Genomic DNA, 25,970 nt, shown 5'->3' on the forward strand with positions numbered 1-25,970 from the left:
ACACTGTGGAAGGGGACCTGAGCAGGTTGCCTCTGCTGGCTTGGGCAGCCTGCTTTTATTCCCTTATCTGACCTCACCCACATCCTGCTTATTGGCCCATTTTACAGAGAGCTGATTGGTCCATTTTACAGAGAGCTGATTGGTCCATTTTACAGAGAGCTGATTGGTCCGTTTTGACAGCGTGCTGATTGATGCATTTACAATCCCTGAGCTAGACACAGAGTGCTGATTGGTGTATTTGCAATCCTCTAGCTAGATGTAAAAGTTCTCCAAGTCCCCACTAGATTAGCTAGACACAGAGCACTGATCGGTGCATTAACAAACCTTGAGCTAGACACAGAGTGCTGACTGGTGCGTTTACAAACCTTGAGCTAGACACAGAGTGCTGATTGGTGTATTTACAATCCTTTAGCTAGACATAAAAGCTCTCCAAGTCCCCACCATATTAGCTAGATACAGAGTGCTGATTGGTGCATCCACGAACCCCGAGCTAGACACAGAGTGCTGATTGCTGCATATACAGTCCTCCAGCTAGACATAAAAGTTCTCCAAGTCCCCACCCGACTCAGGAGCCCAGCTGGCTTCCACTAGTGGATCCCGTGCCAGGGCCGTGCCCGCCAGTCCCACGCCACGCACCTGAACTCCTCAGCCCTTGGGCAGTCGATGGGACTGGGTGCTGTGGAGCAGGGAGCGGTACCCGTCAGGGGGGCTCAGGCTGTGTGGGAGCCCACCATGGGGGGGCTCGGGCATGGCAGGCTGCAGGCCCCGAGCCCTGCCCCACAGGGAGGCGGCTGAGGCCTGGCGAGAATTTGAGCACGCTGCAGGCGTGCCAGCAGTGCTGGGGGACCCAGCACCCCCTCCACAGCTGCTGGCCCGGCTGCTAAGCCCCTCACTGCCCAGGCCGGCCGGCTGCTCCGAGTGGGGGCCCACCGAGCCCATGCCCACCCGGAACTTGTGCTGGCCCTGGTTCCCGCCCACTCCTCTCTCTCCACACCTCCCCGCAAGCAGAGGGAGCTGGTTCTGGCCTCGGCCAGCCCAGAGAGGGTCTCCCACAGTGCAGCAGCGGGGCTGAAGGGCTCCTCAAGCATGGCCAGAGCAGACACCGAGGCTGAGGAGGTGCTGAGAGCAAGCAAGGGCTGCTAGCACGTTGTCACCTCTCAATGGGACCATGCCAGATGCTGTCACACCCATTAGCAGCTCATTCACCTACATGGTGTTTATTCCCTCCCTCTGTGGGGACAGGAGAATGATCAGACTATAGCGGGGGGCCCAAGTAGGAGAAAAATGAAAACAAATGGATCAGAGCAGCTCAGCTTAGGAAAGACCTTAAATTCCAGGCTAAGAAACTTTCCCTGACATCTCCTCATGTGCTTGCTATAGCATTGTGTCATAACTTCTTAGTAACTTAAGCTAGGCCATGGGCAAGCTTGAGAGCGGAGATCACTTCACACATCACTGCAATGGTCTCAAAACCTTAGTGTGCATCAGAATCACAGGAACAGCTTGTGAAAACTCCAATTATAGGCCCCCGCCCCCAGAGTTTCTGATTTAGTAGCTCTTCAGGTAGGTCTGCAAAATTGCATCTCTAACAAATTCCAAATCTCACAGTTGACCCTGGTGATTCCTGTTTTCTGATATTCATATTCCTGTGGAGTTTCCTCCTACCTTGAATAGGTTTACTTATGTGACCAACAGGGCGTTGTGGAAGTGATGGTGTATGACTTTGAAGAATAGCTTATAAAAGAAACGCAGCTTTCAGCTTATTCTCTTGGATTGTTTATTATGGGGGAAGCCAACTGCCATGTTGAAAGGATACTCAAGCAGCTGTGAAGAGAGGTCACATGGGGAGAAGCTAAAGCTTCCCACTGACAACCAACCCCAGCTTGCCAGCCAGGTGAATGAGCTACCTCGGAAACAGATCCTCCAGTCCCTATCAAGTGTGAAAATGACTGCAGCCTCAGCCAATTTGTGACTGCTACTTCATGGTAGACCCTAACCTAGAATCTACAGAAACTATGAGACACAATAAATGGTTCTTGTTGTTTTAGGCCACTAAGCTTTGGGGAGATTTATTACATAGCTACAGATAGTTAATACACCAAATGATGCTGATGTGTCTGGTCCAGGGACAGCACTTTGAGAATGGCTACAGCATTTTAACCCTTGTACCCACCGTGTGCCTGATGTATAAGATGCATTCAATAAATGTGTTTTAAATTAATTAATGAATAAATGGATGGATAAATAAAGGTTAGACTTAAAGCTACAGATACAGGAGAGTCACTGAGTTGAGAAATGGCATGATGGCAGAGGCATTGGGGGATACTTGCTGTATTAGTTCATTTCTGCAGTGCTATGAAGAACTTGAGACTGTATAATTTAATGAGAAAAGAGGTTTAATTGGCTCATGATTCCACAGGCTGTACAGGCTTCTGCTTCTGGGGAGGCCTCAGGAAACTTAACAATCATGGTGGAAGGGGAAGTGGAAGCTGGCACATCTTATGTGGCCAGAGCAGGAGGAAGAGACGGCAAAGTGGGCGATGCTACACAGTTTTAAGCAACCAAATCTCGTAAGAACTCACTTTCATGAGAACAGCAAGGGAGAAGTCTGCCCCCATGATCCAATTACCTCCCACCAGACCCCTCCTCCAACATTGGGTACTACAATTCGACATGAGATTTGGGTGGGGACACAATCCAAACCATATCGCTTGCTAAGAAAGGTCTCTAGATTCATGGTTTGCTGAGTGACCCTGCTGGCAAAATTGCCAGCTCAAGATGCAATCTCCACTCTAGTTTCATATGCCTCCATCCAAGTGCTTAATAACCAGAGGAGCCTAGGCCTGGGAACTGCCATTTCTACTTCTCCTTCTGACCTGCAGAAGGCTCCCCAGGACATCCATTTCCTCCTGCATTTTGATCCCCATCAGGAATCTCCCATCCCTCTCTCTGCTCTTCTTTGTCAGTCCTTGTCCTCTCATTCTGTCCAACATTTATCCTGCTCCCCACCCCTTCTCTAATAGGCTCACCTTCTTCAACAAGCCTTCTGGGGACTTCCTGGCCTCCTCTGCTGATTCTCCTTGTGGCCCCTTCCTCCTTCCAGCCTTGAGTTTTTTATCCCCTCTACATTGTTCCCACAAAGCAGTTCACAGCACAATGCCACAAATAGTGACCAAATTCCAGCTGCCTATGCCAGCCAGCACTAGGTTGAATATATTGAGACAAATAAGACCATTTTCATGCAAAATATTGTTATTGAAGACTTCAAAGTACCCCGGACTAGCATCTTTATTTCAGCTGAAATCCTTCCAGGCCACACTCCAACCTCTCCCCACTGCCCCCATCTCACTGCCTTTCCCTTCAGGGCTGGTGTAGACATAGGGGTTGTGACCACCAGCTTAAGCTATGTGCCACCTCACCCAGTGGTAGGAACATGTAGAAAAGGGTTAAACAAGAACACTTGTATCAAAGGGGACCTTTCCTCACAACCCCAGGCCAGGACAAATTCTCTCTTCCTTCCCATATTTGATTACTGCATTTGGAACTCATTGGAAGAAAACTGGCTTTACTTTGATGTTTTTCCAGCTCTCTCTCCCTTGCTTTATTGGTCTCATCTGCTCTTCCAGAGCTTCAGACTTATTTGTCTTCCCCTGCATTTATGCACAGGGTGTTTGTGCAGTAATACCTAGGATTTGATTGGGATTTCTGAAAAACACAGTATCGTATATGCTACAGAAGACTGGGGGTGTCTATCTGGCTTCTACGCATGGCTTGGAATGCAGAGCTGGGCACAGTCTGATTATTTTTAGCATTGTTATGGGGCTATTAAGTATGTCTATCCATGCTCCCTTCTCTCCCTTGGGTCTCAGATGTCACCTTCCAGGATTCCCAGAGTCTCCAAGAAGAATGTGGTCAGCCTAGAAGAAGGAGGTAGTTGAGCCCAGCCTCAACTGCCAGCCTCTCCCAAGACTTCACCATGCTGGATGATACAAATAAACTTCCAAAGAAACTCAGTCCACATGAGGAAACAGCCCACACAGTTCCACACAGGGTACAGACCACCAGTGTGTCCTCAGGCAGTGCCCACCCCACATGAGGAACATTTCAGCCTCACCCATTCCAGCTCCCAGAGCCTGAGTTCCAGCCCTTTTCCTGAGGCTGGCTTCCATAATGAAAGCTCTTCACACCCAGCAAGTCCAGATGGAAAGGCTTGCTCTTCCCTCAGTTCTGCCCTTCCCGCAATCTTCCCCTTTGAAGAAGGGCACTCCCAATCTCCAGGTGCTCAAGCTAAAAGCCAGGATACATTTTTGACATCTTCCTTTCCCTTGCCTCTCCTCTATTCATTCTTTCACCAAGCCCAGAATATTTTATCTCCAAAATATCTCACAGGCTATCCACTTCTCTCCTTCACTGCCATGACACTAGCCTGGGCCACTATCATCTACCTCTCAAGTGGATCACTCACTAGTGTCTCAGCTCCCACACTGTTCCCTTTCAGTCTATCCTCCACACTGTAGCCAGAGTGAGCCACCCAAACCAAATCTGATCACATCATTCCCCTGCTTAAAACTCTCCAATGGTACTAAGAAAAAAAGAAGTATCGCAAGTCCCTTACATGGCTCTAAGACCTTTCATGATCTCACCCCTGACCACCACCGCTTGAACCTTCTCCCAGGATACACTACACTCTTACCCCTCCTTGCCAATCACAGTCTTCAAACTTCCCAAGTCCCTCAGCACACTCTGGCCTTTGTGTCTAGAAGAAAACACTGACACCTGTGTTCCCATGCTCATTCCTTGCCTAGCTAGCTCCAGCTATCCTTCAAGTCTGCTTAAAATTCACATTAGCAAAGACCTTCCCTGACCACCCTAATCTAGATTTATTTCTGCTGTTTTATTCTCTCATGGTACCCTATACTTCTACTCCATAGTTTGTAATTATGTAATTATTCATGCAATAGTGTGTTTAAGTCTTCCTCATCAGACTATAAGCTCCAGGAGGGCACAGGTCATGTGTTTCTTTGCCCCTATACTACAACTTGGAGTCACAAATATGAGTGAGTCCTTCTCATCAAGAAACTTATACTCTCATGCTAAAGACACATCTATGAACAGGACATTCTAACTGAATATCTAAGGTATCAAGGTGTATTAGTCCATTCTCACACTGCTATAAAGATACTACCTGAGACTGGTAATTTGCAAAGGAAAGAGGTTTAATTGACTCACAGTTCCACATGTCTGTGGAAGCCTCAGGAAACTTACAATCATGGCAGAAGTGGATGCAAGAACCTTCTTCACATGGCAACAGGACAGAGAAGTGCAAGCAGGGGAAATGCCAAACATTTATAAAACCATCAGATCTCATGAGAACTCACGCATTATCATGAGAACAGGATGGGAGAAACCACTCCCATAATCCAATCATTTCCTTCCCTCAACACATGGGGATTACAATTCAAAATGAGATTTGGGTGGGAACGCAGAGCCAAACCAAATCACAAGCCTTTGAAGTTAGCAAGGTCTAGGGCATAGCCACATTAGCCCAAGAGAACACCAGCTTCCTGGAGTCTGTGAGCATCTAAAGGATAAGCCAAACTCCACTAGTGTGCCGGCCATTTGGTCATGGCACCTGCTGCTCCTACAGCTCTTTCTAAGGGATGGCTGCCCCACCTTGCCCTGAGGAATGGGTAGTCATGGCCATGCATTTACCCCAGACCTACCCACCAGACCTTCCGCTCCCTGACACAGCTGATTTCATAGTCGGGGGTGCCTGACCGAGGGCAACCAATTCCCAGGCTTTCTGGCATGGCATAGAGCAGCGGTGCTCAAATTCTGGGGGCTCAGAACATCTTTGAATGCTTAAAAATTGCTGAGAACTACAGAAAACTTTTGTTTATGTGGCTTATATCTACTAATATTAAACATATTTTTACACAACACCACATATCTATCAACATTACCATATTTTTAACTCTAAAAACATTCATTCAGGAGTTCATTTAAAAATAAAAATAGAAAACTTATTATATCCTAACATAAACTTTTTTTTTTTTTTTAGGACAGAGTCACACTGTCACCTGGGGTTGGAGTGCAATGGCAGGATCTCAGCTCACTGCAACCTCCACCTCCCAGATTCAAGTGATTCTCCCGCCTCAGCCTCCCAAGTAGCTGGGATTACAGGTGCCCAACACCATGTCCTGCTAATTTTTTGTATTTTTGGAGAAACGGGGTTTCACTATGTTGGCCAGGCTGGTCTCGAACTCCTGACCTCGTGATCTGCCCGCCTCGGCCTCCCAAAGTGCTGGGATTACAGGCATGAGCCACCATGCCTGGCCCATAAACAACATATTTTTATGAAAAACAACTAAATTTTTGAAAACAAATATTTTAGTGAGAAGAATACACAGTTTTACAAATCTGCTTAGTGTCTGTCTTAATAGAAGACAGCCAGATTCTTATATCTATTTCTGCATTCAATCTTCTATGTCTTGTTTGGGTTGACCTATGAAGAAAATCCAGCCTCACACAGATATGTAGTTGGAAAAGGTGGGAGTAACTTTAATAGCCATCTCAGATAATCGTGGCTGTTCTTCTTTGATACTGCATCAAGACTTGACAAGGGGTAGATCCCTAAATGGGGTACCAGAAACCATATTGGCAAATTTTGTATACTCTATTATATTGAAATCTACTGGTGTATCCCAGACTTTAACTGGACTCTTCACTGTTGAACGATGATGTAACATCCATGTCTTGGTCATTTAGAAAATATCAGCTACTGGCTGGGCGCAGTGGCTCACGCCTATAATCCCAGCACTTTGGGAGACTGAGCCAGGCACATCACTTGAAGTCAGGAGTTTGACACCAGCCTGGTCAACATGGTGAAACCCTGTCTGTACTAAAAATACAAAAATTAGCTGGGTGTGGTGGTGCATGCCTGTAGTCCCAGCTACTCGGGAGGCTGAGGCAGGAGAATCGCTTGAACCCAGGAGGCGGAGGAGGTTGCAGTGAGCTGAGACTGCGCTACTGCACTCCAGCCTGGATGACAGAGTGAGACTCTGTCTCAAAAAAAAAAAAAATTGGTTTACTGAATTATGTAGACTTTTCAAATGACACATTTTATTATAGAATATTTCAAATGTCACATTGATTAATATCACCACCAATCCCATCAGAGAAGTCTTAAGAAGTAGAAATCTCTCCAGTTCATTGTGGATCCTTGTGGTTCACTTGTAACATCAAATTTCATCATCAACACCGTCAGTTGTTTTCCTTGAGGTGGCAGGTTCACGCCAATCATTTTCAAGAAAATGTCTGCTAAAAATCAAATCTGAATAACCATAGTTTTTCTGTCAATTGTTCTCACGAGTAAAATGACGTTTATGAAAAAAGTGGGGCTGGGCGCACTGGCTCACACTTGTAATCCAGCACTTTGGGAGGCTGAGGTGGGCAGATAACCTGAAGTCGGGAGTTCGAGACCAGCCTGGCCAACATAATGAAACCCCATCTCTACTAAAAATACAAAAAAATTAGCCAGGTGTGGTGGTGGACGCTTCTAATCCCAGCTACTCGGGAGGCTGAGGCAGGAGAATCTCTTGAACCCAGGAGGAGGAGGTTGCAGCAAGCCAAGATCACGCCACTGTACTCCAGCCTAGGCAACAAAGTGAGACTCTGTCTCAAAAAAGGAAAAAGTGGCTAGTTCAGCTTGCAATTCAGTCATGTAAGTGCTTTTCCTAGATACTCCCATTGTACCTTAGTATACAGCGGAAGTGCTATACATACCCTTCACACAGACTTTAATAAGACATATACTCAAGAGTCACAATTTAGTAAAATTAATAATCTTTACTGCTTCATCAAGGACTCTTTTCTTACTTCAAGTGCCCGATGATAGAAGGAGGAGCCAAGATGGCCAAATAGGAACAGCTCTGGTCTACAGCTCCCAGCGTGAGTGACGCAGAAGATGGGTGATTTCTGCATTTCCATCTGAGGTACCGGGTTCATCTCACTAGGGAGTGCCAGACAGTGGGCGCAGGACAGTGGGTGCAGTGCACCGTGCGCCAGCCGAAGCAGGGCAAGGCATTGCCTCACTCGGGAAGTGCAAGGGGTCAGGGAGTTCCCTTTCCTGGTCAAGGAAAGGGGTGACAGACGGCACCTGGAAAATTGGGCCACTCCCACCCGAATACTGCGCTTTTCCGACGGGCTTAGGAAACTGCACACCAGGAGATTATATCCCGCACATGGCTCGGAGGGTCCTATGCCCACAGAGTCTCGCTGATTGCTAGCACAGCAGTCTGAGATCAAACTTCAAGGCGGCAGCGAGGCTGGGGGAGGGGCGCCCGCCATTGCCCAGGCTCGCTTAGGTAAACAAAGCAGCCGGGAAGCTCGAACTGGGTGGAGCCCACCACAGCTCAAGGAGGCCTGCCTGCCTCTGTAGGCTCCACCTCTGGGGGCAGGGCACAAACAAAAAGACAGCAGTAACCTCTGCAGACTTAAATGTCCCTGTCTGACAGCTTTGAGGAGAGCAGTGGTTCTCCCAGCACTCAGCTGGAGATCTGAGAACAGACAGACTGCCTCCTCAAGTGGGTCCCTGACCCCTGACCCCCAAGCAGCCTAACTGGGAGGCACCCCCCAGTAGGGGCAGACTGACACCTCACACAGCCGGGTACTCCTCTGAGACAAAACTTCCAGAGGACCAATCAGACAGCAGCATTCGCGGATCACAAAAATCCGCGGTTCTGCAGACACCGCTGCTGATACCCAGGCAAACAGGATCTGGAGTGGACCTCTAGCAAACTCCAACAGACCTGCAGCTGAGGGTCCTGACTGTTAGAAGGAAAACTAACAAACAGAAAGGACATCCACACCAAAAACTCATCTGTACATCACCATCATCAAAGACCAAAAGTAGATAAAACCACAAAGATGGGGAAAAAACAGAGCAGAAAAACTGGAAACTCTAAAAAGCAGAGCACCTCTCCTCCTCCAAAGGAACGCAGTTCCTCACCAGCAACGGAACAAAGCTGGACAGAGAATGACTTTGACGAGGTGAGAGAAGAAGGCTTCAGACGATCAAACTACTCCGAGCTACAGGAGGAAATTCAAAACAAAGGCAAAGAAGTTGAAAACTTTGAAAAAAATTTAGACGAATGTATAACTAGAATAACCAATACAGAGAAGTGCTTAAAGGAGCTGATGGAGCTGAAAGCCAAGGCTCGAGAACCACGTGAAGAATGCAGAAGCCTCAGGAGCCGATACAATCAACTGGAAGAAAGGGTATCAGTGATGGAAGATGAAATGAATGAAATGAAGCGAGAAGGGAAGTTTAGAGAAAAAAGAATAAAAAGAAACGAACAAAGCCTCCAAGAAATATGGGACTATGTGAAAAGACCAAATCTGCGTCTGATTGGTGTACCTGAAAGTGACGGGGAGAATGGAACCAAGTTGGAAAACACTATGAAGGATATTATCCAGGAGAACTTCCCCAATCTAGCAAGGCAGGCCAACATTCAGATTCAGGAAATACAGAGAACGCCACAAAGATACTCCTGGAGAAGAGCAACTCCAAGACACATAATTGTCAGATTCACCAAAGTTGAAATGAAGGAAAAAATGTTAAGGGCAGCCAGAGAGAAAGGTCGGGTTACCCACAAAGGGAAGCCCATCAGACTAACAGTGGATCTCTCGGCAGAAACTCTACAAGCCAGAAGAGAGTGGGAGCCAATATTCAACATTCTTAAAGAAAAGAATTTTCAACCCAGAATTTCATATCCAGCCAAACTAAGCTTCATAAGTGAAGGAGAAATAAAATACTTTACAGACAAGCAAATGCTGAGAGATTTTGTCATCACCAGGCCTGCCCTAAAAGAGCTCCTGAAGGAAGTACTAAACATGGAAAGGCACAACCGGTACCAGCTGCTGCAAAATCATGCCAAAATGTAAAGACCATCAAGACTAGGAAGAAACTGCATCAACTAATGAGCAAAATAACCAGCTAACATCATAATGACAGGATCAAATTCACACATAACAATATTAACTTTAAATGTAAATGGACTAAATGCTCCAATTAAAAGACACAGACTGGCAAATTGGATAAAGAGTCAAGACCCATCAGTGTGCTATATTCAGGAAACCCACCTCACATGCAGAGACACATATAGGCTCAAAATAAAAGGATGGAGGAAGATCTACCAAGCAAATGGAAAACAAAAAAAGGCAGAGGTTGCAATCCTAGTCTCTGATAAAACAGACTTTAAACCAACAAAGATCAAAAGAGACAAAGAAGGCCATTACATAATGGTAAAGGGATCAATTCAACAAGAAGAGCTAACTATCCTAAATATATATGCACCCAATACAGGAGCACCCAGATTCATAAAGCAAGTCCTGAGTGACCTAAAAAGAGACTTAGACTCCCACACAATAATAATGGGAGACTTTAACACCCCACTGTCAACATTAGACAGATCAACGAGACAGAAAGTTAAAAAGGATACCCAGGAATTGAACTCAGCTCTGCACCAAGCAGACCTAATAGACATCTACAGAACTCTCCACCCCAAATCAACAGAATATACATTTTTTCAGCACCACACCACACCTATTCCAAAATTGACCACATAGTTGGAAGTAAAGCTCTCCTCAGCAAATGTAAAAGAACAGAAATTATAACAAACTGTCTCTCAGACCACAGTGCAATCAAACCAGAACTCAGGATTAAGAAACTCACTGAAAACCGCTCAACTACATGGAAACTGAACAACCTGCTCCTGAATGACTACTGGGTACATAACGAAATGAAGGCAGAAATAAAGATGTTCTTTGAAACCAATGAGAACAAAGACACAACATACCAGAATCTCTGGGACACATTCAAAGCAGTGTGTAGAGGGAAATTTATAGCACTAAATGCCCACAAGAGAAAGCAGGAAAGATCCAAAACTGACACCCTAACATCACAATTAAAAGAACTAGAAAAGCAAGAGCAAACACATTCAAAAGCTAGCAGAAGGCAAGAAATAACTAAAATCAGAGCAGAACTGAAGGAAATAGACACAAAAAAAAACCTTCAAAAAATTAATGAATCCAGGAGCTGGTTTTCTGAAAGGATCAACAAAATTGATAGACCACTAGCAAGACTAATAAAGAAAAAACGAGAGAAGAATCAAATAGACACAATAAAAAATGATAAAGGGGATATCACCACCGATCCCACAGAAATACAAACTACCATCAGAGAATACTACAAACACCTCTATGCAAATAAACTGGAAAATCTAGAAGAAATGGATAAATTCCTTGACACATCCTCCCAAGACTAAACCAGGAAGAAGCTGAATCTCTGAATAGACCAATAACAGGATCTGAAATGGTTGCAATAATCATTAGCTTACCAACCAAAAAGAGTCCAGGACCAGATGGATTCACAGCCAAAATCTACCAGAGGTACAAGGAGGAACTGGTACCATTCCTTCTGAAACTATTCCAATCAATAGAAAAAGAGGGAATCCTCCCTAACTCATTTTATGAGGCCAGCATCTTCCTGATACCAAAGCCGGGCAGAGACACAACCAAAAAAGAGAATTTTAGACCAATATCCTTGATGAACATTGATGCAAAAATCCTCAATAAAATACTGGCAAACCGAATCCAGCAGCACATCAAAAAGCTTATCCACCATGATCAAGTGGGCTTCATCCCTGGGATGCAAGGCTGGTTCAATATATGCAAATCAATAAATGTAATCCAGCATATAAACAGAACCAAAGACAAAAACCACATGATTATCTCAATAGATGCAGAAAAGGCCTTTGACAAAATTCAACAACGCTTCATGCTAAACACTCTCAATAAATTAGGTATTGATGGGATGTATCTCAAAATAATAACAGCTATCTATGACAAACCCACAGCCAATATCATACTGAATGGGCAAAAACTGGAAGCATTCCCTTTGAAAACTGGCACAAGACAGGGATGCCCTCTCTCACCATTCCTATTCAACATAGTATTGGAAGTTCTGGCCAGGGCAATGAGGCAGGAGAAGGAAATAAAGGGTATTCAATTAGGAAAAGAGGAAGTCAAATTGTCCCTCTTTGCAGATGACATGATTGTATATCTAGAAAACCCCATTGTCTCAGCCCAAAATCTCCTTAAGCTGATAAGCAACTTCAGCAAAGTCTCAGGATACCAAATCAATGTACAAAAATCACAAGCATTCTTATACACCAATAACAGACAAACAGAGAGCCAAATCATGAGTGAACTCCCATTCACAATTGCTTCAAAGAGAATAAAATACCTAGGAATCCAACTTACAAGGGATGTGAAGGACCTCTTCAAGGAGAACTACAAACCACTGCTCAATGAAATAAAAGAGGATACAAACAAATGCAAGAACATTCCATGCTCGTGGGTAGGAAGAATCAATATTGTGAAAATGGCCATACTGCCCAAGGTAATTTATAGATTCAATGCCATCCCCATCAAACTACCAATGACTTTCTTCACAGAATTGGAAAAAGCTACTTTCAAGTTCATATGGAACCAAAAAAGAGCCCGCATCGCCAAGTCAACCCTAAGCCAAAAGAACAAAGCTGGAGGCATCATGCTACCTGACTTCAAACTATACTACAAGGCTACAGTAACCAAAACAGCATGGTACTGGTACCAAAACAGAGATATAGATCAATGAAACAGAACAGAGCCCTCAGAAATAACGCCGCATATCTACAACTATCTGATCTTTGACAAACCTGAGAAAAACAAGCAATGGGGAAAGGATTCCGTATTTAATAAATGGTGCTGGGAAAACTGGCTAGCCATATGTAGAAAGCTGAAACTGGATCCCTTCCTTACACCTTATACAAAAATCAATTCAAGATGGATTAAAGACTTAAACGTTAGACCTAAAACCATAAAAACCCTAGAAGAAAACCTAGGCATTACCATTCAGGACATACGCATGGGCAAGGACTTCATGTCTAAAACACCAAAAGCAATGGCAAAAAAAGCCAAAGTTGACAAATGGGATCTAATTAAACTAAAGAGCTTCTGCACAGCAAAAGAAACTACCATCAGAGTGAACAGGCAACCTACAAAATGGGAGAACATTTTCGCAAACTACTCATCTGACAAAGGGCTAATATCCAGAATCTACAATGAACTCCAACAAATTTACAAGAAAAAAACAAACAACCCCATCAAAAAGTGGGCAAAGGACATGAACAGACACTTCTCAAAAGAAGACATTTATGCAGCCAAAAAACACATGAAAAAATGCTCACCATCACTGGCCATCAGAGAAATGCAAATCAAAACCACAGTGAGATACCATCTCACACCAGTTAGAATGGCAATCATTAAAAAGTTAGGAAACAACAGGTGCTGGAGAGGATGTGGAGAAATAGGAACACTTTTACACTGTTGGTGGGACTGTAATCTAGTTCAACCATTGTGGAAGTCAGTGTGGCGATTCCTCAGGGATCTAGAACTAGAAATACCATTTGACCCAGCCATCCCATTACTGGGTATATACCCAAAGGACTATAAATCATGCTGCTATAAAGACACATGCACTCTTATGTTTATTGCAGCACTATTCACAATAGCAAAGACTTGGAACCAACCCAAATGTCCAACAATGATAGACTGGATTAAGAAAATGTGGCACATATACACCATGGAATACTATGCAGCCATAAAAAATGATGAGTTCATGTCCTTTGTAGGGACATGGATGAAACTGGAAATCATCATTCTCAGTAAACTATCACAAGGACAAAAAACCAAACACCGCATGTTCTCACACATAGATGGGAACTGAACAATGAGAACACATGGACACAGGAAGGGGAACATCACACTCTGGGGACTGTTGTGGGGTGGGGGGAGAGGGGAGGGATAGCATTAGGTGATATACCTAATGCTAAATGACAAGTTAATGGGTGCAGCACACCAGCATGGCACATGTATACATATGTAACTAACCTGCACATTATGCACATGTACCCTAAAACTTAAAGTATAATAATAATAATAAGTAAAAGAAAAAAAAGTGCCCGATGATAAAAAAAAAAAATACAACTATTAGAATGGTTGGTGGCCTTGCTTTGATTTGTGCCAAGGTGCCAGCAGTTTTATTCACCATAGCTTTTGTACCATCATTGCAAGTGTCAACATAGTGAAAAAGGCAAATGACATCTTAATATTATCATGAAAAAAATAGTTTTAACTGTATAGACCCCTGAGAGGGTCTTGGAGACCCACTAGGGGTCCACAGGCCATGCTTTGAATACCGTTGGCTCAGAGCAAAACTGATTAGCTAAGACAACCATTTTCTCTGGAATTTTTAAATCAAGAAGCACAAAATCAATAAGGTAGTTAGTAGTGAGTAGTAAACCTAGAAACAGTACTGCTTTTAGATCAGAGCAAGCAGAGCCCCTGTCCTGGGCCCCAAACCTCAGGAGGACCACACTTCCTCTCTGATGTCTGGGACCAGTTGGGGCTAGCAGTATCATCCAAGCGAGGCACTCCAAGCCTGGACAAGGAAGGGCATAGGCCCTCTTCTCTGCTTCTCCCCTTTGGGGTATTCCCGGAGCTTCTATCCCATGCAGGAGATTGACCAGATGCCCCAAGGAGCACAAAGGCTGATGTGGTTGTCGTTGGCTCTCATGGGTGGACCCTGGTTCCAGGAGGGCAACCTGGCAAGTGGATTGCTTCTACTGGCTTCTGCAGTATTTCTTTCATGGGGTTGCAAAAGATTGGGCTGCCAAAGTGGTGTTGTCACACTTCTTTTGGTGACAGTCACGTCAGACACAAGATGAGTTCATAACTCTAGGCTATCAGAAATCCACCACCCATCCTTGGGCTTAAACTATGTGTGGGGGCCCATGCATCAGCTCTCATCCATCTGTGTTCCAATCATGGTGCCACCTTCAGTTGACAGTACCCAAAAGCAATGAGGGTGCACATGTACTCCCACCCCGGCATCCATGCTCTGTGCCACATGTCAGGCAGTTGCCTGGGGTAGCTGAATCATCCCCTCCAAGGTCTTTAGACATCATTGCTCCACAGTGCCAACAGGCCCTTCTGATTGATGTCTTCTCTTGATTTCAGTTGAAGTGGTGACATCATGTTCTTCTAGATTAGTCTTAAGCCATCCCAGACAAGAGACTGCCCTTATCCCTCCACCTGTGTTTCCCTCATCTATCTTCTCTGCAGGTGGCAGTGTGCGAAAGACCAGAGAGCAGTCAACAGTGGAAAAAATCATATTCTTAAGTCCCTAAAGAAGTCAAAAGAATACATTATTGTAAAATGTGTTGTTCAAAGTTTATGCTACAAAATTCCAAAGGATGAATTTAATGTGACCATAGTACAAAGGATTGGTCACATTTTTTTGTATACTCTGGTTAAGACTTGTGTTAGTAGTCATCCTCAACAAAGAAGCATAGTAACAACCTTTGAGAGAGTCATTAAAAGTCAGTACTCACAGGTGGTGTGACACATGATACAGGGTCATGAGTAATGATGTAACCAGTCTGAAATGCATGGTATTAGGGAACTGCAGTAGCAAGAAGATTATACCATTTCAATAAAAAACACATTTCTAAGAGCGATGATATTATGCATAATAAAAACATTCCCGCTTTTTTCTCAGTAGGAGGTATAAAATTAGCCAGAAACCATAAATTTAACAATAAAGACCATGAGGTGATAGCTCCTAGGAACAGCCGACGCCTAGACACTATGAAGAAAGATAAATTTGTTTATCAGATTAGATGATAAACAAATACATAAGTACCCCTTCTCTACCCATTATTCTAAATCTTTACTGGTAAATTACTGTGCTTCACATGGACCTATGGATTTTATCATGCATTTTTATAACAGCTTTATTGAGCTATAATTCATATGCCATAAAATCCATCCTTTTAAAGTGTACAATTCAGTGGTTTTTAGCATATTCACCGAGATGCACAGCCATGATAACTATCTAATTATCGAGCATTTTCACCACCCTTGTAGGAAAACAGCCTGTTGCATGGTAAGAGTGATGCCGCCTTGAAGCAAAACTGCCGTGATGACCGATGTTTGACTCCTGCGTACCAAAGTGTTCATGTAGCGCAGAGAACCCCTCATAAAGATGTTTATCTAACCTCCCCAGTGGTCATGAGTATTTGCAAGAAAGTCTGAGGCATGACAGATGCAAGTGTTTTATCAAAAAAGCTTACTATATAAAGAATATTTTCTGGAGGGTGGGTGTGGGGATCTACTGTCTGGCAGTTGCCTAAGATATCACTTCTGTTTGTAAGTCCATATTAAATGTTTCTCTCTGAGAAACTGGATTCGTCTGGGGTAGGTTTGCATTTACCTGCTCGCTGCAAAACATCCTCAAAGAAACCTTTGTCAGATCCAAGAGAAGTTCCTCTTCAAAGGTTTAGTTTGTTTAGTTTCTTTGTTCTCTACTTTCAAGGTCCAACTTCCTTATCCTTTGTGCCTCCCTGCTCCTGGTTCCAGTAAATAACTCTCCCGCCAGTCTTTATCTACAGAGCCCACGTCTGCTACTCACTCTGTAATTTACCCCTCCAGCTGTAACGGCTCTTCCCGCCAAAGCTGTCTTTCAAGTTAGTCAATCGGGTTCAGTTTAGATTGTGTGGTCCAACTTCAGCCAACGGAGAAAGGACACAGTAGTAGGGACAAACTGCATTAAAAATAAAAACTCTTTCCCTCCTTTGTTCAGTGTACTTTCATGACAACCAGTCCTGCAGAAAACACCCTTCTACAGAAGTAAATTAGCCTTACTGAAAAATCTTTTGTTTGAGTACTCATTTTCTTTGTGACTCCGAGCTTTACTTCCAACACCTCATACTCATGAGCAGTCACTTCCCATTCCCAGACCCTGGCAACTATGACTCTACTTTCTGCCTCAATGGATTTGCCTATTCCTAACATTTTATATAAATGAAATCATACAATAGGTAGTCTTTTGTTTCTGGCTTCTTTCACTTAGCATAATATTTTCAAGATTCATCCATGTTATGGCATATATCAGTACTTTATTCAATTTTATTGCCAAATAATATTCCATTGTATGCTTATACATATATCACATTTTATTTATTCATTCATTAGTTGTTGGATATTTGGGTTGTTTCTGCTTTTTGCCTACTATAAATAATGCTGAAATAAATATTCAGGTAAAGACACTTATATGATCAGATGTCCTTACTTCTCTTAAGTATGCACCTACAAGTGGGATTTCTGGGCTGTGTGGTGACTCTATGTTTAGCCTTTTGAAGAACTGCCAAACTGTTTTCCAAAGTGGCTGGCACCATTTTACATTCCCACCAGCAATATATGTGAGTTCCAATTTCTTCACACCCTCACTAAAACTTGTCATTGTCTATCTTTTTTATAATAATTTGTTTTATGGACTATGGTCTATACTGGAGAATGTTCCATATGCACTTGTGAAGAAAGTGTAGTCTGTGTTGTTGGGTGGAGTGTTCTATAGATGTCTGTTGGGTCTAGTTGGCTGATAGTGCTGCCACTATTTCCTTATTGATCTTCAGTCATTAATGAAAGTAGGTATTGAAGGCTTCAACCATTATTGAGTTGCCTTTTGTTCCTTCAATCCACATAGAGCTCTTTTGTTAGATGTGTATAAGCTTGATTGTTATATCTTCCTGATAAATTGCACCTTGTTATTATAAAATGTTCTTCTCTTTTCTAATGATTTTTTAAAATAGAGATAAGTTTTCACTATGTTGCCCAGGCTGGTCTTGAACCTCTGGGCTCAAGTGATCCTCCTGCCTTGGCCTCTGAAAGTGCTGAGATTACAGGCATGAGCCACTGTGCCTGGCCTAAAGTATCCTTCTTTGTCTAGTAATAATTTCTGTCTTAAAGTCTATTTTGTTGATATTAATGTAGCCACTCCAGCTCTTTTTTGGTTTCTCCTTGCATCGCATACCTTTTTCCATATTTTTACCTTCAACCTCTTTATGTCTTTGAATCTAAAATATCTGTATTATAAACAGCATGTAGATGGATTATGGTTTTGTGTCCAATCTCTGCCTTTCGATTGGAATGTTTAGGCCATTTACATTTAATATAATTACTAGTAAGGTAGGATATACTTCTGCCATTTTGCTATTTGTTTTCTATATTTCATGTGTTTTCTGATGCTCCATTCCTTTATTACTGCTTACTTTTGTGCTAAATAGATATTTTCTAGTATACCATTTTAATTCCTTTGTTTCTTTTACATTATTTTTTGAGTTATTTTTCTAGTGATTGCCTTGGGGATTAAAATGTACAACTTAAAACAATCTAGTTTGAATTAAAATCAACTTAATTTCAAAATACAAATAATTTCAAAATAGTATACAAATAATTTCAAAATAGTATACAAAATCTTTACTCCAATATAGTTCTGTTCCCTTTTCCCTCCCTTTTACTTTTATTGTAACATAAATTACATTTTTATACATTATAACCATGTCAATACAGTTCTACAATTATTACCTTATGCAGTTGTCTTTTAAATCGATGGAGAGAAAAAGAGTTACAGATATAAAATATTTATACTGTCTTTTATATTCATCTATGTAGTTCCCTTTATCAGTGCTCTTTATTTCTTCATGTGGATGCAAGTTGCTGTCTAGTGCCCTTTCCTTTTGTCCTGAAGGACTCCCTTCAGTGTTTCTTGCAGAGGGTCTTTTAACAAGATATTCTCTCAGTTTTTGTTTATCTGGAACTGTCTAAACTTTACTTTCATTTCTTTAAGGATAGCTTTGCTGGATTTAGTTTTTTTGGTTCCTAATCTTTTTCTTTCAGGATTCTGAATACATTATCCTAATACCTTCTAGCTTCCATGAGAGTCAGATAGTAATCTTATTGAGGATCCTTTGTAGGTGATGAGTTACTTCTCTCCTGCTGCTTTCAAGATTCTCTTTGGCTTTGGCTTTTGATATTTTGACTATAATGTGTCTAGGTATGGATCTCTTTAGGTTTATCCTGCTATCAGTTTGTTGACATTCTGGTGTGTGTAAATTAATGTTTTTATTGAATTTGGAAAGACTTTAGTCATTACTCCTTCAAATATTCTTTCTGTCCTTTTCTCTCATTCTTCTTCTGGGACTCACATAAGCTATGTTGGTAACTTGATTTCCTGCAAGTCTAAGCTCTGAGTTGGCTATAATAAAGACAAGCATTGAGAATGGATCTTCTCCAGGGATCTGCCAGGCAGGTCAAATAGTGACCCTTTTCTGGGTATGAGGCTTTCTGAAGAGCTCCAGACTCATTCTGTTTTCTTCAGTGGCCACTAGGCTCCTGGTTTTCATAGCACAGTTCTGAGGCTAGCTGGTTTCCAAGATTACTGAGTAGCTCGTAAGAAGGATAGGATAAGTTTAAATGCTACAAAAATGTGCTATTCTTACTAACATTTAGTCATTTCTTAAATAAAACATTTTCAAATTATTGCAAGTTTTTGGTTAATTTCCAGAATTTTGAAAAATTAATTTTGACTATTTTTTTCCAGAGTTCCTGTTGCTTTTATGAAGGCAAAGATTTTAAGAGGTTCTCACCTGATCATTCCAGAGTGCTTTAAATTGTTTATGTAAACAGGGCCCTAAACCCCTAATGGTGGCTCTATCTGAAAGAATGTCAGTGAGATAAAACTTAAGCCTTGGCAGCCAAAGTTATAAGGAAACAGAAATGATAAATAAGATGAGGAAGAGTAAGCAGAAGCTATAAAGTCAACAAAAATAGAGTACTGGGGAAGTATAAGGTATTGGTAGAGAGCCAAGTAAGGAGCAGATACACAGAGCTGCTGATTCACTTAATGGTCAAACAATAGAAGAAAGACACACAAACAGATGGCTTTGTGGTGCAATGAATAGCACATTGGACTTCTAGTGATGAAAGAAAGACACACAAATTTCTTCTGCTCCTCTTGCCCATTCTGCCACCTTGAAATCAGAACCATGTACTTGTTCCTGCTCTTCCTGAGATCTGTTCAGCTTCTTTGGGGATCTTTAAAATGAAATGAAGTACAGTTGACCTCCTTGAACAACACAGTTTGAACTTCACAAGACCACTTATACACAGATATTTTTCAACCAAACAGGGATCAAAAATACAGTATTCATGAAATACAAAACCTGTGTATATTTCAGGCTGACTTCTCATATACACGGGTCTCACAGAGTTGACTGTGGGACTTGAGTATGCACAAATTTTGGTATCCATGGGGCGTCCTGGAACCAATCCACCCATGTCTACCAAGGGATGACTGTAATTTGAGTGAGTGCCTATGCCTTCTAACCAAAAGAGACAAATAAAATAGCCAGACAGAGAAAGGGAAAGGGCATTCCAGGCACAGCCAAGTCATAAAACAGCCTGGAATTTATGAAAAGATGAAAACTTCAATCCAGAATAGAAGAAAAGGCTGAGAACTAAGAGAAAGGAAAACAGTCAATAAGACTAAAAATAGGTTGCTTAAGTGGTTTCTGTGAAGAAGGAACAAAGTACACAGCTTTATGTCCTGCATTGCCAGAAATATGCCCAGGGTTTGGTTCCCTAAATTGGGTTAATACCCACAGAATCCAGACTGAAAGGATCTTGTTTCTTTAAAGCAGAAATTCTCAAAGTGTGGTTCTCAGACGAGCAGCATCAGCACCACCTGGGAACTTGTTAGAAATGCAAATTCATGGCCTGGCGAGATAGCTCATGCCTATAATCCCAGCACTATGGGAGGCCAAGGAGGGCGGATCACTTGAGGTCAGGAGTATGAGACCAGCCTGGCCAACATGGTGAAACCCCCGTCTCTACTAAAAATACAAAAATAAGCCAGAAATTGCTTGAACCCAGGAGGCAGAGGTTGCAGCGAACTGAGATTGTGCCACTGAACTCCAGCCTGGGCGACAGAGGGAGACTCCATCTCAAAAAAAAAAAAAAAAAAAAAGAAATGCAATTTCACAGGCCCCACTCCAGATCTACAGAATCAGAAACTTTGGTGGAGGGTCCCAGCAGTTGGTGTTTTGATGATCTCTCCAGGTGATTCTGATGTATGCTGAAGAACAACAGCTCTGTTAGCCAAGAAAGCCGGCCTTTGCTTGGACTTAGCAGGGAGAAGCCCAGGCACAATTAGGGGCAACATATGCACGGAGCTGGGCAAGGTGAGATTATTCACCCTCTATGGAGCCCACCTGCATGTGGCTAGTAGTGAAAAAGCCTCACTCTAGGTCGCAGAAGTCTCCTGCATCCCCACCACTGGCTAAGTGTAGAAGAGTGCAGAAAGGAGACAAGAGGGGGAGAACTGTGTGTAGTGAAAGCAGAGACCTCTACTCACCCTAATGAGAGGAGGGATCCAGAATATCCTAGATCCAGACTGATATTCACATTATTGTAAGTTCAAACCTCCACTTGAGTTTTACAGCTGCTTGGAACTGAACTGTGCTGATTTAAACCTAAACTCAAAATTATAAATGCAGAACAAGTCCTCCTTCAGGATATGCCTCTTATTTTCTTAATTGGTTATTGGAATGTTCCATCTGCCTGTGGCTAAAGGGTTAGAGTGCCCTGGTCAATCCAGAGACTGTTCTACCTTGTGACAGGCCAGATCTCACTCCTGGCTGATCAGGCAGGCCTCTGTAACAGCTGTTTCAGCACTGACTGAGTGGTTAAATATTAAAAGCTGAAGAAGTCTCCTTATACAAAGACTAGAATGTAACAAAAGCCCACCAAGAGTTTTGCCTAGGCCTTTCCTGGGCCTTGAAGCATGACAAGATAATGAAAGAATTCTTAACAGGACCCATTTAGGATTAAACAAATTTTTATTGGAGGTCTGAAGAGACTCTCCAGACCTCCACAAACAAGTTTATTGGAGGTCTGAAGGTTTGGAGGTCTGAACTCCCCAAACCTCCATGATTTAGCAGGAGACAAGATAAGGGTAATCACCCCAGCACTGGGATCCATGTAGATTAAGTAAATTTACTTAGGTTCCAGAGGAATGTCTTCAGGACTCAGACCTTAGTTATAGATTAGAAGAAGTTAATCACTTATATCTTTAGATGCCTGCACACTTACACATAGACATATAGCTTAGAAGGTATATAAGCTCTGGAAAACTTTGTAATTTTGAGTTGGTCTGGCGATTTTTTCCAGGTCTTCTCCCTGTACCCGGTTACAAAAATAACTCTCTTCTTTCCCAGTTCATCTGCATCTCCATATTGGGCTGCAAGAATAAGCAGCCTGACCCTCAGTTTGGTCTGGGAACAATGTCTCCTCCAACCTCAATGGCAGGCTGTTGTGCAAGACCCTCATTCTCTAGCCTTCAGTAGCTTCGAGTTCACATAGTTTATTGATCCTCAACAGTAGAATCAACAGGGCAGCTTAAAAGGAAATTTTAAGTCCAAGCCACATCCCAGAGCAGTTAAATCAGAGTTTCTAGAAGTGGTTCAATCATTGCTATTTTCAGAAAGCCACCAAGGTGATTCTAACATGCAGCCAGGGTTGAGAACTGCTGAGGATTAAAGTTTTTGTGTGAATCCCACCTTCCTTCTGTCTGGTCTCTAATGCTTAAGAAAGGAGGGTCCCCTATGATAATGAGACCTGGACTCTTGGATAAGGAGGTTCATGAGACTTAATTATTCCAAGGCTATGACATGGCAAAAGTGTCCAACAACTAATATGTATAATTAAAATTTATGATATATTTTGTGAGTCAATCATTCAACAAATATCTATGGCATGCTTATTACATATCAGACATTCAGGATATAATAAATAGACAAAAATTCCTGCCTTCATGAAACTTACATCCTAGTCGGGGGAATAACAAATTAGTAAAATATATGCTATGTTAAATGGTGACAAGTACTATGGGAAAAAATAAAGCAGAGAATAGGACCAGGAATTGCCCAGGACTAGGGAGGGTTTGCTCTTTTTAGAATGGCAGAGACTTAAGTCAGAGAGAGGAAGTAGCCCTGCAGACATTTGGAGAAAGAACAATCCAGGCGGTGGAGGATTACCCTAGGGTAGGAGTATGCCTACCATGTGCTAAGCTCCTTGCAGACATCATTGTATTTTATTCTCACACAACCCTTTAAGGGTGGTATTATCCCCATTTTCCAGTGTTCAGAAAGGATCAGCAGGCTGGGTGCAGTGGTTCACGCCTGTAATCCCAGCAGTTTGGGAGGCCGAGGTGGTGGATCACCTGAGGTCAGAAGTTTGAGACCAGCCTGGCCAACAAGGTGAAACCCCATCTCTACTAAAACTACAAAAATTTGCCGGGCATGGTGGTGCATTCCTGTAGTATCAGCTACTCAGGAGGCTGAAGCAGGAGAATTGCTTGAACCTGGGAGGCAGAGGTTGCAGTGAGCAGAGATCACACCACTGCACTCCAGCCTGAGTGACAGAGCAACAGGTGCTGGAGAGGATGTGGAGAAATAGGAACACTTTTACACTGTTGGTGGGACTGTAAACTAGTTCAACCATTGTGGAAGTCAGTGTGGCGATTCCCCATGGATGTAGAACTAGAAATACCATTTGACCCAGCCATCCCATTACTGGATATATACCCAAAGGATTATAAATCATGCTGCTATAAAGACACATGCACACGTATGTTTATTGTGGCACTATTCACAATAGCAAAGACCTGGAACCAACCCAAATGTCCATCAATGATAGACTGGATTAAGAAAATGTGGCACATGTACACCATAGAATACTATGCAGCCATAAAAAATGATGAGTTCATGTCCTTTGTAGGGACATGGATGAAGCCGGAAACCATCATTCTCAGCAAACTATCACAAGGACAAAAAACCAAACACTGCATGTTCTCACTCATAGGTGGGAATTGAACAATGAGAACACATGGACACAGGAAGGGGAACATCACACACCGGGGCCTGTTGTGGGGTGGGGGCAGTGGGGAGGGATAGCATTAAGAGATATACCTAATGTTAAACGACGAGTTAATGGGTGCAGCACACAAACATGGCACATGTATACATATGTAACAAACCTGCAAGTTGTACATATGTACCCTAAAACTTAAAGTATAATAATAATAAAAAAAAACACCCCAGAAAGGATCAGTAGCTCATCCAAGGGCACAGTAAAAGTTGACGCTGAAATTCCAGGTCTGTGCAACCTCAAACGTCCTGCTCTTAACCCCTACTCTACTGCCCCTGTCAGCATCACGTCTCACCCCTGCCACAGAGATGTCACAGGCAAGCAATGTCTGGGGAATGATGAGTGTCCCAAGGAGTAAGGGTGCTTGCATGCCCCATAACACAACTTGCCTCCCCACTACCACCAGTGCCAAAGCCTGGCTCCCATGCCAGGTGTTGATGCTGTCCTTCCACGCTTCTCTCCTCCTAAAGACCTCCAATACACACACACATACACACACACACACACACGCACATGCACACACACAAGCACATCCTTTATCAAACAGGCCCAATCCTGTTTCCTATTCTTTCTGCTTCTTTCACTGATCTGCTCCCCACGGGGCGATCTCAGACCAGATCACTCACTATTTCAGAGCTGTCAAGTTGACATAACAGAATCCTAGTATCTCAGAGTTTCTGTTTGGTGGTTAAGACCATCCTTCAGGGGCTTCCTCGGCCCCTAGGTACCTCTCTCAGCCCTAAGAGTGGGGTTCTAGGGGCAAACACTCAGATTACTCTTTTACTCTGACCTGAAGTCATCTCAAGGCATTCTCTTCCTCATCAGTAACTACAGAGTTGTTTTGTTTTGTTCTGTTTTGTTTCTAGTAAGAGTGGCCCAGAGTGTGAGTACCCTGTGAGAGCCCAATAAAAGAGGTAGTTGGGGGTATGAGCTTTGGATTTGTTTGTTTGCATTTAAAAGGCACACTTGCAAGTGAGTCCTTTCTATATCCAGGAATTGACTAAGCCCTAGGAGGGGCAGTCCCTCCAGAATCAGCCAGGCCCCAGATGTCAAAACATCAAAAAATACAGAAAATAAAAAGACATGATGAAGTCAGTGCTGATTTATTTATCCATCTCCTCCTGCCTGCAGCACAGTGCCTGGCCATAGCAGATGGCTCAGTGGTTGCTCACAGAAAAGACTAAGAAGAGCAGCACAGAAAAACCAGTTATGTCTCGGGAGACACACAAGGGTCGGAGTGGGAGGTGTTGATCACACTGTTTTCCATCCCTGACAGGCAGCAGACAACAAGATTGGAGGGACAGGTAGCAGGAAGGGGAGTTCTGATGTAGGATGAAGGAAGTACTTTGAGAGAGAGGCAATCTCAGTAGGACCCCACCACGAGCAGGCAAGTGGGACAGCTGGAGATCAGGAGGGCTCCAGACATCACAAGGGCTCCTCCTTATACCACTGAGCCCAGGTGAGCCACAGTCCTTCCCAGGGTCTACACAGACATCACCTCCTGCATTTGCCATCACTACCCCCTCCCCAGTCTAACTCTTGAAAGTCCTGAAATGCCTGTGATTCTGGCTGGAGCTGCCGTCCTCATCCCAGGTAATGGACTCATCACCTGCCCTCCCCTCTTGCCTGGTGCCTGGGCAGCTTCCATTGTTCTCTGGAGCTTGGCTGGCTGCCAGGCCTTAAATCCAAAAGTTACTTTCTTTCCTATGGTGGCACAAAAGGAAGTTTTGCCCCTTAGATGGATTTTTTTTTCACCATTCTTCCCCACAATGACCAGACTCTGAAAGGAATAGCAAATGACTTTTTCCTCTTGGCAGAGTAGTGAGATCTTGATCAGTCCAAGCCCAGAATGTTTGTGGATCAACATTCACTCAGCAAACCTCGATGAATCGTGATGTGGGACGAAGAGGGTAAACTCACAGCATTTAACAAGGGTTATTCTACAATCAAATGCATGCTTGACAGTGGCAAAGTGCTTCTGCACATTTGCTTTTATCTTAGATCTATCACAGCTCTGCAAAGAGGTGAGGGAGTATATT

At 43.1% G+C, this 25,970-nt stretch overlaps 2 long non-coding RNA genes across 3 annotated transcripts in view, besides 3 other annotated features; both read right to left on the reverse strand.

Annotated features, from left to right (window-relative positions):
- Positions 1-25,970, reverse strand: part of LOC107984390 (uncharacterized) — a 100,111-nt gene that overhangs the window by 62,311 nt on the left and 11,830 nt on the right. The window lies entirely within an intron of this gene.
- Positions 14,104-17,024, reverse strand: LOC124902758 (uncharacterized). The gene is made up of 2 exons (XR_007062893.1): positions 16,379-17,024; positions 14,104-15,289 (listed from the first exon to the last, which is right to left on the reverse strand). It is a non-coding gene; the product is annotated as an uncharacterized LOC124902758 (long non-coding RNA).
- Positions 16,437-16,731: an enhancer, noted in NCBI's record as "tiled region #4296; K562 Activating DNase matched - State 5:Enh". NCBI's record gives its function as "activates a minimal TATA promoter and a strong SV40 promoter by Sharpr-MPRA in K562 cells {active_cell/tissue: K562}" and the evidence as "EXISTENCE:reporter gene assay evidence [ECO:0000049][PMID:27701403]".
- Positions 16,437-16,731: a silencer, noted in NCBI's record as "tiled region #4296; HepG2 Repressive DNase unmatched - State 6:EnhF". NCBI's record gives its function as "weakly represses a minimal TATA promoter and a strong SV40 promoter by Sharpr-MPRA in HepG2 cells {active_cell/tissue: HepG2}" and the evidence as "EXISTENCE:reporter gene assay evidence [ECO:0000049][PMID:27701403]".
- Positions 19,697-19,991: a silencer, noted in NCBI's record as "tiled region #4594; HepG2 Repressive non-DNase unmatched - State 23:Low". NCBI's record gives its function as "represses a minimal TATA promoter and a strong SV40 promoter by Sharpr-MPRA in HepG2 cells {active_cell/tissue: HepG2}" and the evidence as "EXISTENCE:reporter gene assay evidence [ECO:0000049][PMID:27701403]".

This window comes from Homo sapiens, chromosome 11, assembly GCF_000001405.40.
Source record: "Homo sapiens chromosome 11, GRCh38.p14 Primary Assembly".
NCBI classification, from domain to species: domain Eukaryota; kingdom Metazoa; phylum Chordata; class Mammalia; order Primates; family Hominidae; genus Homo; species Homo sapiens.